Source organism: Homo sapiens, chromosome 6, assembly GCF_000001405.40.
Source record: "Homo sapiens chromosome 6, GRCh38.p14 Primary Assembly".
NCBI classification, from domain to species: Eukaryota; Metazoa; Chordata; class Mammalia; order Primates; family Hominidae; genus Homo; species Homo sapiens.
This window is the reverse complement of record NC_000006.12, coordinates 105,368,420-105,384,705: the sequence shown is the minus strand read 5'-3', so window position 1 is coordinate 105,384,705 and position 16,286 is coordinate 105,368,420. Positions and strand designations below refer to the sequence as shown.

Here is a 16,286-nt window from a genome sequence, read left to right as displayed (position 1 = left end):
CTGTCCCTAAAAAAGGATTCTGATTGTTTTGCCTGGGTTTACTACTATTACTATTTTGTTGACTATTGCCTGTGGGTTAGAATTGATGGAAAGACTTTGCTTATGAAAATGAACAGGGTTTACTTATATAAACAACGTGGAAGGGAGTTAGCATAGTTAGAATACAGACAGAGGTGTCTGTCACATTATCTATGACAGATGGAGGTACAAGCGAGCGGTACCAAGAATCCTCACTGAGAATGCTCAATTGCAGATGATACGATCTGATGGAGAAAGAGGGTAAACCTCAAACTTTCTGAAGGTATAACTGTCACCGTTCCAGCCAGATGTTCCTCATCAGTCACAGTGTGATCACTGCCCTTCGGTACCTGGCATAACCAAGCATGAGCACTCAGTCTCCCAAGCCTGCTTCCTGTACACTCCTGAATTCAGTAGTGCAGGACTGGAAGAGGCTGGCTCCCTGATGGGTGAGTCATGCCAGCAAGCCCTGAGATGAGCCGCAGCCTCACCTGCTTGAGGTCCTGCCCAGCCGTGGTCTGGGGGAGGGACATTCTGATTGGCCAGCAGCGGTCACACCCTTTCCCCAACTATCAGTGGGACTTCATATGGCACCAGAAAGAAATAGATGTCAACTCCAACAGTGTTTGCCACATCCCATGAAACTTAATGTGTGATAGTCTTGTTTTTCTTATTTCTTCGTATTTTCTAAGTAATCTTGTTACAGTTTGGATTTCCTCATTGATACAGAATTATTCAGGAGAGGGAGGATATGAGTGTGTTTAATGTCCTCACGATCAGATATTTAGTTAGGTTTGGATTTGAGGTGCAAATCACCTCTTCACCAGGTTTTTGGTCAGGAAAGTATACACCAAAGAATGGAGCCTAATGGGGTTAAAATTTCAGTTTTCCCTGGTCATGACGAGTATTGAGAACAAGGCTTGAATATCAGGTCGGAGTGACGGTTTCTGCTTCCTCCCTAATTGATAGTAACTAGTCCCAGTGAGGGAACGAGTTGATTTACCCACACGGGGACAAGCAGAGAGGTGGAAAGAGGCCTGACAGGCTTCTAGAAGGCTCCGCCTAGTCTGCTGATCATGTGCAGCAGGAAGCTTACTATGAGCCCTTTTCACCCAAGAGCAGATGGTCCCAGAGAGAAGAGATGGGCCCACTCTGGGTTTTTTATGTTAAAGTTGAGCCCAAAAGATTTTGGGCTCTCACTGATTGAACTAGAATATTTCTCCACCTTGAGAATGAGTAGGGGGTTGCTTGTGGGCCAGGAAAAGAAAGCACTTCATGTGGTGAGGTTAATGGCATTGTGGTCAAAACTGTGACCTGAACAAGCTTTTCTTTCTGGGGCTTAAGATTCCCCCTTTGTTGTCTGATGGGCTGCTGATTTTTGTAAATATTGAGTAAGTCCTGGAAAATTACGAGCACTCTTTTTTTTTTTTTTTTAATGGTAGAGATTCCTTGGCATAGATATTAGCCTTGGAAAGTACATTATTCCAATCTTTTATTGTTTCCATTTCTGGACGTGTTTCCTGAAAAGCAGCTGCATCTAATTCTCTTTTGTGCATGACCTACCTTGACTGTCCTGCCCTCCTGGCCCTAAGTCCTACAGCCTCAGGGTGAGCGCCTCTTGGCTGCTTTTTGATGGGGCTGTCCCTGTACTTGGAGAGTCATTTCCAAATTCCAAATTCTGCTAAAGTGAGAGGGGATCCAAGTGTGCCGCCCATGCCTTTCACTTAGGCTGGGATTATGGTTTTTGCCACTTTCTCCAGAAGCCCCTGATAGTTGCTTAACCAAGTCCTATATCTGTTATTTGTAACAGATGCTCCTCAAAGCCTGTGGGATGTAGATAGCACCACTCTTAGTTTTCATTGGTATTTCAGAAGAGGGGAGGTTGATACCCGGGCCTGAGCCAGTCTCTACCTGGAAGTCCCTCCTGGTCGTCTTGCCTGCCTGCCAATGGCACTTGCCCCAGCCCACCCTGCCCTGCCCTGGAAGTAGCTTCCCCTTTATTTGTTCTCCTCTAGCACATATCTTTATCTTTCATTCATCTTGTTAATCACCATGGTGCACATTGTAGTGTTTTGTATAAATATTTATTTAATGAGTAATTCTAGGCATAATTTTTATTCATTTATGTAAGAATTGTAAAAAGATGAGTTTTTTTTAAGTGAACAGTATTTTTAATTTACACTTCCATTTAGAAAGGGAAAAGTTAAGGCAATCAGTAAGTGAGCCTGTATCTGTATTTCGTAAGTCAATTTTTCAAATTGACAGGTGAAAATTGTATATATTTAGGTGTGTAGCACGTCATTTTGATATATGTAGAAATTGTGAAATGGCTAAATCAAGCTATTTAACATATGTGTAATTACCTCACATACTTTGTGTGTGTGTGTGTGTGTGTGTGTGTGTGTGTGTGTGTGTGTTGAGAACGCTTAAAATCCCTCTTAGCAATTTTCAGGCAGTTACCATGTTGTACAATAGATCTCTTGAACTTATTTCTCCTGTCTAACTGAAACTCTGTGTCCTTTTACCAACATCTCCCCCAACCCCCGCCTCTGGTAAACACCATTTTACTGCTTCTGTGAGTTTGACTCCTTTAAATAAAACATATAAGTGAGAGCATGAGGTATTCATCTTTCCGTGCCTGGCTTATTTCGTAGGACTGCAGTATTTTGTGTATTAAAATAGAGTACATGAGGGCACTTTGAAAAAAATTTTCTGAAGACATTAGGAGTAAAGGAATCTCAGCTCCCAAATTAAGCCACCCCTTTCCAAATAGCTTTTCTTTTTCTTTTTTAAATTGCAGTACGAACACTTCACATGACAGCTACCCTTGTAACAGATTTTTCTGTGCACAATATAGTATTGCTAACTATAGGTACAGTGTTGTACAGCAGATCTCTAGAACTTAATGATCTTGCATAACTGAAGCTTTGCTTTGCTTTTAAGCTTTCTAATAGTCAAGGCACATGAGATATAAGTAAGATTTCTTAGTTTTGAGCAGCTACTCTTTGCTAGGAAAATGTGTTCAGATTCATCTATGGATATAAAATCTAAACTGTTGACTCTCTTTAGAAGCTCAGCTGCGTGCATCAGGGCTTTCATATTTCAGTTATTTTAATACATCCTAGAATGAGACTGCGGGTACTGAAACTCCTTGAACAACAAGGAATTTGTGTTTTCCTCACCCTGCTTCCTTATCACCATGTAACACTTCCATTTTCTTTTTCTTTATTTTTATTCTTTTTCTCCCTTTTCCCCAATTTTTTTTTCTAATATTTAGATCAACCAAGATGATATACCTGTTAAATACATAAATGACCAAGAAGGCATTTCCCTGGTTAAAATATCAGAAATATTATTGGCATTTATGTAACCCTAAATTTAACAAAGCTTCTTTACAGAAATTTTCTACCACCTTCGTGAAAAGGATTTGCCCGAGTTATAAAGATGTGTGTTATGAAAAAACTTGAGACTTTTAGGAATTTGGACACTCTGGTTTTACATCTAGATATTTGACTTGGAAGAGTGCAGTCTTTAATGGTCTATTTAAAGTAATTAGCTAACATTTGTGGGTAGGAGGTGACAAAATTGGATGTACTAATCCTAGAATTATTTGGTAGCATTTTTATGCCTGGCATAACAGTTTTATGAAAACTTTATATGTGAAAAGCCAGTGTGTCTGCTTCAGGGTGAGATGAATTATGTTGCAGTAGTTGTAATTATACCATGAGACATGTGAAAGAAGCAAAGCAAAATAGAGAAACAGCTGGAGAACACAATTCTGCTTTTCCAAGGAAAATGAACTGAGCAATCTGTTGAGCAGCCTCTGACCCTTGGACCCACCGTGGGCCTAAGTGCAGCCTCATGCAAATCAGAAGGATCAGGGAAATGACATCTTCAGGGTACCCTCCTTAGAGAATCCCTCCGTGGAAGTGCAGGAGCCAGCCAAGACCCTCAGCATGCTGGGGTCTTGTGTGGAATCCTTCTTAGGGCTCTGACTAGAATGTTCTGGTGAGGCCCTCTGGGAAATAGCCAAAACTGCAAACTAACATGTGCTGTGCCCATTTTCTCTGTTTCCACTCCCATTATAATGGTTGTTCCTGCCCCTTTTAGAGACCAGCCATTCCTCTTGGCCTTGTCTCTCACCCGAACCACTGTCCCAGCCTCCTAACTGGCCTGTCTGTCTCCACTTTTGCTCCCCTATAGTCTGTTCTCTGTCCAAAGCACGGTAATCTTTCAAAAAGTAAATCTCCTTACCCAATCATGGCTTATTTGCACTTCGATGAGAGATCGAAACATCATATCTGCCTACCAGGTGCCGCCTGCTGTAGCTCATGTCTGGTCGTCTGGCCTCAGCTCATTCCCAGCCTCACTCACCTCCTTACTCTTCTTCACACCTGCCAAGTTATTCCCCCTGCCAGGACTCCCACACCTGCTGTTTCCTCTGCCCAAAACATTCTGCCCCACCTTGCATGGTTGCTCCCTCTCAGTCCTCAATTTGAAACCTCCTCAGAAGGGCTTTTGTGACCACCCTGCTTAATTAGGTGCCCTCTTTCCCAGTGATTTTCAAGATCTGCAAGGAATGGCTGGTTTGTAAATTTCCAAACCATTTGTGGATTGAGGTTTTTCCAAACTATAATGAAGATGCCATAGTAATGTCAAATTGCCATAAAGGTTTTCAGCACTCACTCTTGTTTTCTGCACTCTTCTCATTGTGGGCTGGTAGCAAACAGTTCAGGCCAACACTGATCTGTAGTTGACACTTTGGGTATCAAGCAGCATTGCTCTGCTGATTACCCTGTGTATGTCCTTAGAACCAACCATTCTGCAACCCTCTGGCTTTTTGTGGGTGTGTCCCCAGTAGCATGAGCTCCGTGATGACAGGGATTTTAGCTTGGACTTGTCACTTATCCATCCACAATGCCACGATCAGTGTAAACACACACACAAGATTTGTGTTTAGTCCACGTGGATGCTTCAGCTCCCTGATGTTCCTACCCAGCACAGCCCAGTTCATGCAGAAGAAAATCATAGGAGGCCCAGGTTGCGTCTTCCTTCTTTCCTGGGTGGATCTGCTTCATCTCCACATCCTTTTTCAGTCTCTGAGTGATTTTGCTAACTCACTGCATGACCTTAACCAGGGGACTTTAATACCACTTGCCTCCATCTCCATATCTGTGAAGTAGGCATGGTGTTTTCTTCCACTGTAAAATGAAGTAGTGCTTTTGGACACACTTGGTGATCTCCAAAATGCTCCCCTGGGTGGTTTCTCAGATAGGCATTGATTTTATAACTAAAAAGCAAAATCCAATTTCCTCCTTGATGTTTTTAATGAGGGAAAGTGCAGTCAGCAAACTTCCTGTAAAGGGCCACATAGTAAATATTTTAAATGTTGCAAGCCACATAAGTCTCTGTTGGTTTTTCCCCTCTAGCTCTTTGAAAATACAAAAACCATTCTGATCTCCAGAGCCACAGGAAAGCGGGCCAGGGCGAAGATTGCCAATCCCTAGTGATAGTTGGAATTGTATTTCTGTGGGACTCAGTAAATTTTATTTTCTGTTTAAATGAAATCAGAAATGTGACCTGTAACAGTTTTATTTTTCTTGAACTGGTCCTCTTGCAAAAATGTTAATTACTGTATTCATACTTTACATCCCTTGTCTCTTGTTTTTAAATGCATTGTAATCAATGAGCTTTGGAACAGTTTGTCTCACCACAAAATCATGGTTCTGCAGAGTGGGATTGGTGGTTTTTGTAGGGGAACCCAAAGCATTGTTGCACATTTGAAGACCATTGTGAGCTTGGATGGGCCCTTAGAGTTTGATGATATATCCAAAAGTGAACTCTGATAATAATGCATTTTTCCCTGCCATTCAAAGTATATTATGGTCTTAATTTCCTGAAGTTTTTCCCTGATGATTTACTTATTTATAGACATCTGATGAAATCTTCTATTGAATTTAAAGCTGATACAATGTTCTTGTTTCATTTCTTGCTAATAGCCAGATGTGAATTACTAGTAGCCAAGTTTTTATGGTATTGTCAACTTTTTAACTGGTTAGTTACAAATAGGGTGTGCTTGGATACAACTCATCTTTTGTAAAAGCCCCTTTTCCTGCCTTCACTACCAGTATTTCCTGATGGCCATCTCTTGCCTTTCTTATAAACCATGTTGCTGATATTCTTCTGCAATGCCACTTGTTTCAGGTGTTTTTTGTTTTTGTGTGTGTTTTAAGACAGTCTCCCTGTGTCGCCCAGGCTGGAGTGCAGTGGCACGATCTTGGCTCACTGCAACCTCTGCCTCCCGGATTCAAGCGATTTTTGTGCCTCAGCCACCCTGAGTAGCTGGAATTACAGGCACCCACCACCACGCCTGACAAATTTTTGTATTTTTAGTAGAGACAGGGTTTCGCCATGCTGGCCAGGGTGGTCTCGATCTTCTGGCCTCAAGTGATCCACCCGCCTCAGCCTTCCAAAGTTCTGGGATTACAGGCATGAGTCACTGCACCTGGCCTCCAATGTTTTTTCAATGTTCTTTGGTTGCAAATTTTAGCAAAGTTCTCTGATTGAAATTAACATGGTAGTAGGTCTTACAAAGCCAAAATCGATAAAATAGCGCCTGGGTATCCCTAACTTTCTCTCTTTGACTCTGACTTCTCTTGGGATGGCCAGGTGCTGAATAAGAATCCCGGAACCATGGCACTGCGTAAATGCAGATTATTGGCAGTGTGTGATCTGAGCTACAGTATAGTGTGTTTGTTAGGAGCGTGGATCTGGGAGCCAACTCTGCCATCTGCCACTTCCTAGCTGTATGATGTCGGGCAACTTTTTAACCACTCCAAACCTCAGTTTCCCAATCTGTAAAGTTGGCCTAATAAAAGGACCTTCTCCATAGGATTATTGTGAGTTCTAAATAAGTTAATACTTGCCCTGTAAGCATTAGCTGAGTTAGTACCATGTAAGCATTGGTTGTTACTACATATTAATCAGTCACTTGGCAGGAGCTGGGCAGGTATGAAGAAGAGTAAGGAGGTGAGAGAGGCTGGTAATGAGAGAGAAGAGGCACTGGCTAAGAGACAAAGTGTGCTTTTTCTGATACATATTAGTGGATAATATTTCACATGGAAAATTTTATATTTAACTTGCTTTGTCCATTTTAATTTCTCCACAGGCCTTTGTGGAGGCCCAGAATAAGATTACTGTGCCATTTCTTGAGCAGTGTCCCATCAGAGGTTTATACAAAGAGAGAATGACTGAACTATATGATTATCCCAAGTATAGTTGCCACTTCAAGAAAGGAAAACGGTGAGACTGCTTTTACTGAATTTCCTTTTTATTTTCAAAGTAAATGCTTTCTTAAATTGTAAAATACAAATTCCAGATAACTTGTCCTTGTATAAGATTAATTCATTATAAGGAATTAATTTCTATGCCTGAATATGAGAGTAATATTTTTGATCTATTAGGTATTGTCCAAATTGTTAAAATAATAGTTAAGAAATTTAGTAGGGATAGGTCATATAAAGAAATCTAGATTATAGGAAATCGTCGTCTTATCGGTAGTAATTGGTGAGATAGGATGATTCATAGACAGCAGTGGAGGTTTGTTTGCCTCCGAAGTTAATTATCTTTGATGTATACTACTTGGAAACATTTAATTCTGTGTTTTTCTTCTGTCAAAGAATGGTGAAATGGGTGAATTCACTTCTCTTGTTCCTGTCCCGTTAACACCCACTTACAGATGTTTTCTTGATCTTTTATTAAATCTCTTTGGAGCCACTATCACACATTTACTTTAGACTTTCTTCAGCCCTCTGCCATTCTTACAGAGATCGGCAACGTACAGTCTGCCTACCAAACCCTGGCTGCCTACCTATTTTTATAAATAAGGTCTGATTGGGACACAGCCATGCTTATCGGTTTACGTATTGTCCATAGCTGCTTTTGTGCTGCAGCTACAGGCCTGAGTATTATAGTGACAGACTGTATGGCTCACAGAGCTTGAAATATTTGCAGTCTTGCCCTTTACAGAGAAAGTGTACTGACCTTCCACCCTAGCAGCCTTGCTAGGGAAAAGAACCAGAATTTTATTTTAGAAAAGTCTGCTTTCTTCTTCATTTAAAAGAAAAAGTTACTGCTTTATTTGAATATCAATTTTTATTTTAACACATAAAATGGTCTTTATTTGCCTCTACTCGGCTAATGTGCAGGATTACAATACAGGATTTGAATATGGAAGCAATTCTGTTAACAAGCTCTAGGTAGAGAGAAATGATGGAACCTTTCACCCATGTCCCCACGTCCCTGCGATGGCCAGATTACAGTGGTACCTTTTTAGGTCTTTGGTTTTGTTTTGGTTTTTGCTTGTGTGTGTTTGGTTTTACTCCACAAATAGAAAACTCCACAGCTGAATAAAGACCATCTCTGTTCCCCAGGTATTTTTATTTTTACAATACAGGTTTGCAGAACCAGCGAGTATTATATGTACAGGATTCCTTAGAGGGTGAGGCCAGAGTGTTCCTGGACCCCAACATACTGTCTGACGATGGCACAGTGGCACTCCGAGGTAAGTGCTACACAGAGAGGCCCGTGGAACTCCTAAGACCCTCACTTGGAGCTCTGAAGTTAGTGCAGTTGCTTTACCTCTGAAATGCCAGGCAGGGTGTGGACCATATTGTGGAACAGATGCACATACAATATCAGGAAAGCTAATTTTTGCACAGTATATTTAGAATACATGAATAGTCACATTCCTCTTTTCCACTCTGATGGCATGAAGCAGAACTGGAAAATAATTAACACTGGACCCAAATTAGCTTCTAGGGCTTCTGGAATCTTGACATATCATCATCATTTCCTCCAACATCCCTGAGACCTACCTGTGATTAGAAAAAAATAAGTCGTCTTCTATAAGAAGTTTAAGCTGTACAAAGATTATTCCAACTATAATATTAAACAGGAAAGAATGTTTATCAGATCAGTTTCCCTCTTGGGAAGGAGGCGATTAGAGTTTTAAAAATCTAGTTAATTGTCAACATGTTAGAATTACAAGTAAAAACACACAAATCTTGTAGAAATTGAACAGCTGGGTATCCTGTTCCCTGAAGATGGAGGTTTAAAGACTAAGTTTGTCCACAGTTGCTGTACATCTCCTACTTAACTCTGCCCCTAAGATAACCTCCTCCGTAGGCCATAGAGAAGATTATCCAAGGTTTCTGCAGTAAGCAGAGTTCTAGGGTAAGGAACTAAGTTATTCTCCAGTTCTGTATTTTAATAATTGTAAACTCTACAATGATAATGATGTTATAGATGACGTTGGCTCAGCATTTCTCCTGTAGTACCTTCTGGTTTTATAGAAAAAACCATATGATTAGTTATGGCCCTCTAGAATTGAGAAATTGAGACATTGAAGTCCTCTGTAATCAATAAGATGGGAGTTATAGAGCCCCGTTCCATCAGACCTGTGCAAAGACCCTTTTTTATACAAACACTTCTAACCATGATCCAGTCATTCGGTGGTCCACCTTCCCCTCCCTCTGAATAGGCTGTGTATATAAACAATGATCCTTTATCGAACCAGTATCGAAAATAAGACATCACCAGCTCAGATTCTTCCATGAATCTGAGCTTGTAGTTTTCAGTGAATTTAATACACTGGTTCTGTTGAAGTAACATATCCCATATAGGAATTCATTTAGTTTCCACAAGGATCTATCTTGCAGCCCATCCAGAGGGACAGGGTCTTAACTCCCACCCCGATAATGCATTCTTCTAGTGACTTCTTTATGGAATGTTTGCTATGGACAAAGCCTTGATGGGCGAGAAGCTAAATTAGGCATGAGACCTGCCTCAAACAGTCATTGAGTTTTCTAAGAGTGGTATTATAGGGAAGTTATCACAAAAGGAGTAAACATTCAGATTATTTTTGTAGTATATGATTTTTAAACATACTTTTCAAATCAAAATGTTTTATTTAAATTTTTCTGAAAATTTTCTGATATATATATATATATATATATATATATATATATATATATATATATATATATATATATATAAACAATTCAAACACTCCAGTGCTATGTAGAATAAAAGGTGAATATGTTTCTTTTTCCTATCACTTTCTAGACTCTTTTCTGCATTTACATACATATGAGCCTAGATACTTTATAGGACCTACAATGGTTAATGAGTAGGTTCTGTGAAATTTTAAACAAATGAAATTCCACGTAAAAGAATAGGAAACCTCTAATAATAGTTGAGCTTCTTAAAATTTTCATTACCCAATAACGTTTAGCAAACAGCCTAAGAGGAAATCTCTGGTGTCAGAGTCTCCAATAGGAGGTGTTGTATTGAATGCTTTACATACTTCATAATTAAAAAAGCTAATATGAAACACAAGTATTTGCCAGGAAACATTCCATAGTGATTAGAACATTCTGCCAGGGCCCTAAAGGACTGTACATGGCACGACAGTCTATAGACATGTTGCTTTTCCTTTCACAATTTCTTGTGGAATGTGCACTCCGGGCGCCTTCACTGCAAACCCTCAGGCTTTATTTACCTAGGCTTGTAATGGTCAGACAGTGTGGACATTGCACAGGTAATGCTTCAAAAATGAGGCTGTAACAAGGGATTTTAGATAATTTGGAATCAATCTCCCAAATTACCTAATGACTACAATTTAGTTCTATTATATGGTATGTGTCATAATTCAGTCATTACTCTAAAAGCAGTTTCCTTTTTCTCCTTATTCCCTTTAGAGTATAAATGAAATATGACAGAAGTCCCAGATGAGCTCTGCTTTTAACTGAACTGCCTATTGCATTATAAAAATTTCAAAATGAAAGCATTTTAGTAGGCATATAATCTAATATTTCATTTTATAGACAAATTAAGACCTGGAGAGGTTAGGAAGCTTGTCTAAGGTTATAAGGGTAATTCCTGTAAAACTTGGGCTGAGCCCCCGGGATTCCTCACTACCAGATTCCTATTCCTTTTATTGCCACATTCTACCTCCGTGTTATGAAAGAGAGCTTTGTTAGATGGCATAAAGGACCGTGGAGTTGTGTTCCGTGTTTGTCACTGGATGATTTCTCCTGTGTCCCATAGGTTATGCGTTCAGCGAAGATGGTGAATATTTTGCCTATGGTCTGAGTGCCAGTGGCTCAGACTGGGTGACAATCAAGTTCATGAAAGTTGATGGTGCCAAAGAGCTTCCAGATGTGCTTGAAAGAGTCAAGTTCAGCTGTATGGCCTGGACCCATGATGGGAAGGGAATGTTCTACAACTCATACCCTCAACAGGATGGAAAAAGTGATGGTGAGTGAAGACTTCAGATGAAGCACATTTTTCACAAAATGAAGTGTGACTTCAAGTGACTGAAAAGAGATGCTGAACCCTACATAGAGGTTGTGTGGTCCAGAACCATGTTTCCTCAAAGGATGTTGTATCAGTTGGCTTTGCTGTGTAATAGACCCCACCAAAATGTAGTAGCTTAGAATAATAAACATTTGTTTTTGCTATGAGCCTATGGGTTGGCCAGGTAGTTCTTCTGGCCTTGGCTGAGTTCTAACATGTATCTGTGGTCAGCTGCAGGTTAGTTGGTTCATCTTGGCTTGGCTCTTTTACATTTCTGGGCCCTCAGCTGGGACGACTAGCAGACTAGCCTGGGCTTGCTCACATGGCAACTCAGTAGAATTGCAAGACGGGGAGCTGAATGACACAGCCTTCTTAATGCCTAGGCTTGCTCCTGGCACGTCAGATTTGCTGCATTCTGTTGGCTAAAGCAAGCCAGAGGGCCAGCCCCTTTTCAATGGGTGGAGAAATAGATACAGGGAACTGCGGAAAAATGAGATCATTATTACAATCAATCAGTCCCTTATAGATGTGTTATATCTCCTAAGGAGATTATGGAGAAGGTGAATTTTTAAACCGAACCAAGCTATTTGATTATGTTGAGTGATTATAAAACTTTACTGCTACAGTAATCGCATATTCTCCTCTGATCAGAAGTTATAGGTCACCTGTTGGTTGCCATTTATCTTGATACTTTTCTCCTTGTTACTTTCTGGACACACCTTTATTGTTCTTCTCTTTAATTGCACAAAGATCCTGTTGTGTTCAAGGGGTTCCTCCCTCTTTGCTCCTTCACTTCTAAATTTTCCCAGGCAGGAAGGGCTATGTACCTTGTACCTTACTGGTACAATGTGTCATTTTCTTCCTTTTGCTACCCCACATTTCAACGTGGTATGTAGCATTTTCTTGTTATGTTGGTTGGTCTTTACAGGTAAGTTTTACAATCCCTGTGTTAGAGATTAGGAGCTTGGGCACAGAGGCTCAGTAATTTGCTGGAGGGCTGGGATCTGGCAAGAAGCACAGCTACTCCAGTGCTTTCTGCTGTACCTGTTGTCCCCTTATCATGACTTGTTGTATCTTTGTCATCTTTAAATATCCTTGCTTTCTTTTCTGTTTTTTTTTTTCCCCCACAATTGAATTGAGAATAAGGCTACAGTGTTTTTCATCTCTTGGCTATGTTTAGCTTTTTCTGCCTTTTGATTAGGCTACATCAAGACCTTTTTTATAAATTCGCCAATGAATTACAAGATGAGCTAAAAGTAGGTTTTTTATTCAAGGATGTTGGCTAAAGAAAGATGTCTGCGCTCTGGAAACGAAATTAGCTGCTTGTGTTAAGAGTGCCCCAGAGTTAGAAAATGTTAGTTATTTCCACCTTCTGGGAAACAAAAAAAGTATAACTGGCCAATTCATGTTAGAGAACGTTATTACATTAACTTGTAAAAAACAAAAGTTATTATTTACCATCAGCTTTCAGTGGCACAAAATAATAATAATTAGTAATTGTGATAGATATAAGAAAGCCAACATCTCAGTAGCCTCTCAGACTGTGATGGGAGCCTTACAAATGAAGCTAAGCAATTCCTACCATGTGCTTCTTACCAGTGTCCCTGAAAGCTCAATGACAATCACTTAAGTGCCATGAAGCTTTTTTTACATTCTGGTATTATCTTATGTTTTTCCCTCCCTTGCCCTGAAAGCTTGGTACGTCATCATAATGAAAAAAAGAAGTTCAGCCTCAAAGAAGCCTCCAAAATCAGCAAATATGAGTTAATTACTTTCAGTTTGATATTCAACCAATGCTTAACCTTTTTTTTTTTTTTTTTTTTTTTTTTGAGATGGAATCTCACTGTGTCACCCAGGCTGGAGTGCAGTGGCGTGATCTCAGCTCACTGCAACCTGTACCTCCCGGGTTCAAGTGATTCTCCTGCCTCAGCCTCCCAAGTAACTGGGACTAGTTAGCGCCATGCCTAGCTAAATTTTTTTTGTATTTTTAGTAGAGATGGGGTTTCACCATATTGGCCATGCTGGTCTTGAACTCCTGACCTTGTGATCCTCCCACCTCGGCCTCCCAAAGTGCTGGGATTATAGGCGTGAGCCACCACGCCTGGCCGATACTTAACTTTTTAAAAAGTAAAGTTTAGTTTTTAGAACAGTTTTAAGTTAACAGCAAAATTGAGAGGAAAATACAGAGACTTCTCATGTGCCTCCTGCCCCCACATATTCATTTTACCTCTCTTATTATGAACATTCCCCACCAGAGTGGTACATTTGTTTTTCATTGGTAAATCTACATTGACACATCATTATCACCCAAGTTCATAGTTTACTTTAGGGTTTGATTTTGGTGTTGTACATTCTGAAGGTCTGAACAAATGTATAGTGACATGTATCCAGTGTTGTAGTATCATACAGAGTAGTTTCCCTGGCCCTAAAAATCCTTTGTCTTCTAACAATTCATTCCTTTCTCACCCCAATCTTTGGCAGTCACTGATCTTTTTACTGTCTTTATAGTTTTGTCTTTTCCAGAACATCCTGTAGTTGGAATTAGACAGTATGTAGCCTTTTCAGATTGGCTTTTTTCGCTTACTGATAATACATTTAAGTTCCCTACAGGCCTTTTCCCAGCTTGATGGCTCATTTCTTTTTAGTGTTAAATAGTCATTGTTTGAATGTGCCACAGTGTATCCATTCACCTACTGAAAGAATGCTCAGTTGCTTCCAAGTTTTAGCACTTATGAATAAAACTTCTGTAAAAAATCTGTATGCAGGTCTTTGTTTGGACACAAGTTTTCAACTCCTTTGGGTAAAGGAGCATGACTGTGGGATCATGTGGTTAAGAGTCTGTTCAGTTTTATAAGAATCCTCCAAAACTTCCAGAGTGGCTACACCATTTTGCATTCCTGCCAGCAATGAATGAGAGTTCCTCTTGTTCCACAACGTGGACAGCATTTGGTGCTATCAGGGTTCTGAATTCTGGCCATTCTTACAGGTGTATAGTTATATCTGAATTTTTTTTTTTTTTTTTTTTTTGAGATGGAGTCTCACTCTGTCTGGGACTAGTTAGCGCCACGCCCAGCTAATTTTTTTTTTGTATTTTTATAAATATCCAGGCTGGAGTGCAGTGGCGTAATCTCAGCTCACGGCATCTTCTGTCCCGGGTTCAAGCAATTCTTGTATCTCAGACTCCCAAGTAGCTGGGACTACAGGTGCATGCCACCCCACCCGGCTAATTTTTGTATTTTTAGTAGAGACGGGATTTCACCATGTTGGTCAGGCTGGTCTCGAACTCCTGACCTCAGGTGATCCACCTGCCTCGGCCTCCCAAAGTGCTGGGATTACAGGTGTGAGCCACCACGCCCGACCATATCTGATTGTTTTAATTTGGATTTCCCTAATGATATATAATGTGGAGCATCTTTCCATATGATTATTTGCCATCTGTGTATCTTTGGTCAGATGTTTGTCAAGGCCTTTGGCCTAGTTTTTAATCGTTTTTTTGTTTGTTTGTTTGTTTGTTTGTTTTTCTTATTGCTGAGTTCTTTGTATATTTAGGAATTTTATAGTTTTATGTTTTACATTCAGGTCTGTGATCCATTTTGAGTTAATTTCTGTAAAGGGTGTAAGATCTTGTCTGGATTCATATTTTTGCCTGTGGATGTCTGGTTGTCCCAGCACCTTTTTTTAAAAAGGCTACTAGGCTCTCTTTCCTGTTCCATTGATCTATTTGTCTGTTGTTTTGCTAATACCACATTATCTTGATCACTGTAGCTTTATAATAAATCTTGAGGTTAGGTGCCAGTCCTCCAACTTTGTTCTCCTTCTGTATTGTATTGGCTAGTCAGTATATTTTGCCTTTGCATGTGAACTTTAGAATCAGTTTGTCAATCCACAAAATATGTTTCTGGGATTTTGTTTGGGATTTCATTAAATCTGTAGACAAAAATGGGAAGAACTGATATCTTGACAATGTTGAGTCTTCCTATCCATGAACATGGACTAGCTCTTCATTTATTTAGTTCTTCTACTTCTTTCATCAGAATTTTGCAGTTTTCCTTAGATAGATCTTACACATATTTTGTTAGATTTATACCTAAATATTTCATTTTTGGAGGTGCTAATGTATTGTTTCTAATTTCAAAATCTACTTGTTCGTTGCTGGTATATAGGAAAGTAATTGATTTCTGTATGTTAACCTTGTATCCTGCAGCCAGCTACTTGTTAAATGTGTCTAGCATTCTGCAATATGGGTGGAATTGATTTTCTTAAAATTATCAAGTACATTTCAGTGTACATTTTTAACTCCTTCAGGCACAGAGACATCTACCAATCTCCACCAAAAGCTCTACTACCATGTCTTGGGAACCGATCAGTCAGAAGATATTTTGTGTGCTGAGTTTCCTGATGAACCTAAATGGATGGGTGGAGCTGAGGTATTGTACAGCTGTGAAATTTTACCCCCAAAGACTGTGTTTCATGGATGTGTGTATAAATATTCTTATTATGTGGTGACCTTTATGGATGGCAGAAGTCCCATGAGTGAATATTCTTTTGTTAAAAATATTGGTATTCAGATTGACTCTTAATAATGGAGGTGATAAACCTTTAACTGCAATCTCAACCTATTACTCTTAATATTAAAAGTAATACTTTGAGGGTAAAAAAGTAATTTTACTTCTAGTAAAAACTATAAAAGTACCTAGTAAGGTAAAACATGAACCTTTCAAAACTCAGAATCCTGCCTCTCAGAGGTGAGTGTGGTAGCCTTCCACAAATTTTCTTTGTACATACAAGTGAGAGTATGGGGGAAAGAGAGTGTGTCTTTCCCTTTTTTATACAACTGTGCTCTTTTCATGCATATTGTTCACTTGTTTTTACATTAAAATGAGTGTCTTTTATACATTTTCTCATCAATA

General features: G+C 39.7%; 1 protein-coding gene across 3 annotated transcripts in view; it reads left to right on the top strand.

Moving 5' to 3' along the window:
• PREP (prolyl endopeptidase) overlaps nt 1-16,286 on the top strand; it is a 129,865-nt gene that overhangs the window by 18,377 nt on the left and 95,202 nt on the right. For all 3 annotated transcript variants that reach the window (NM_002726.5, XM_011535925.4, XM_005267044.4), the window contains exons 3-6: nt 7,187-7,320; nt 8,451-8,581; nt 11,128-11,337; nt 15,682-15,803. In NM_002726.5, coding sequence (NP_002717.3) covers nt 7,187-7,320; nt 8,451-8,581; nt 11,128-11,337; nt 15,682-15,803 — 597 coding nt within the window. The remainder of the gene's footprint in view (nt 1-7,186; nt 7,321-8,450; nt 8,582-11,127; nt 11,338-15,681; nt 15,804-16,286) is intronic.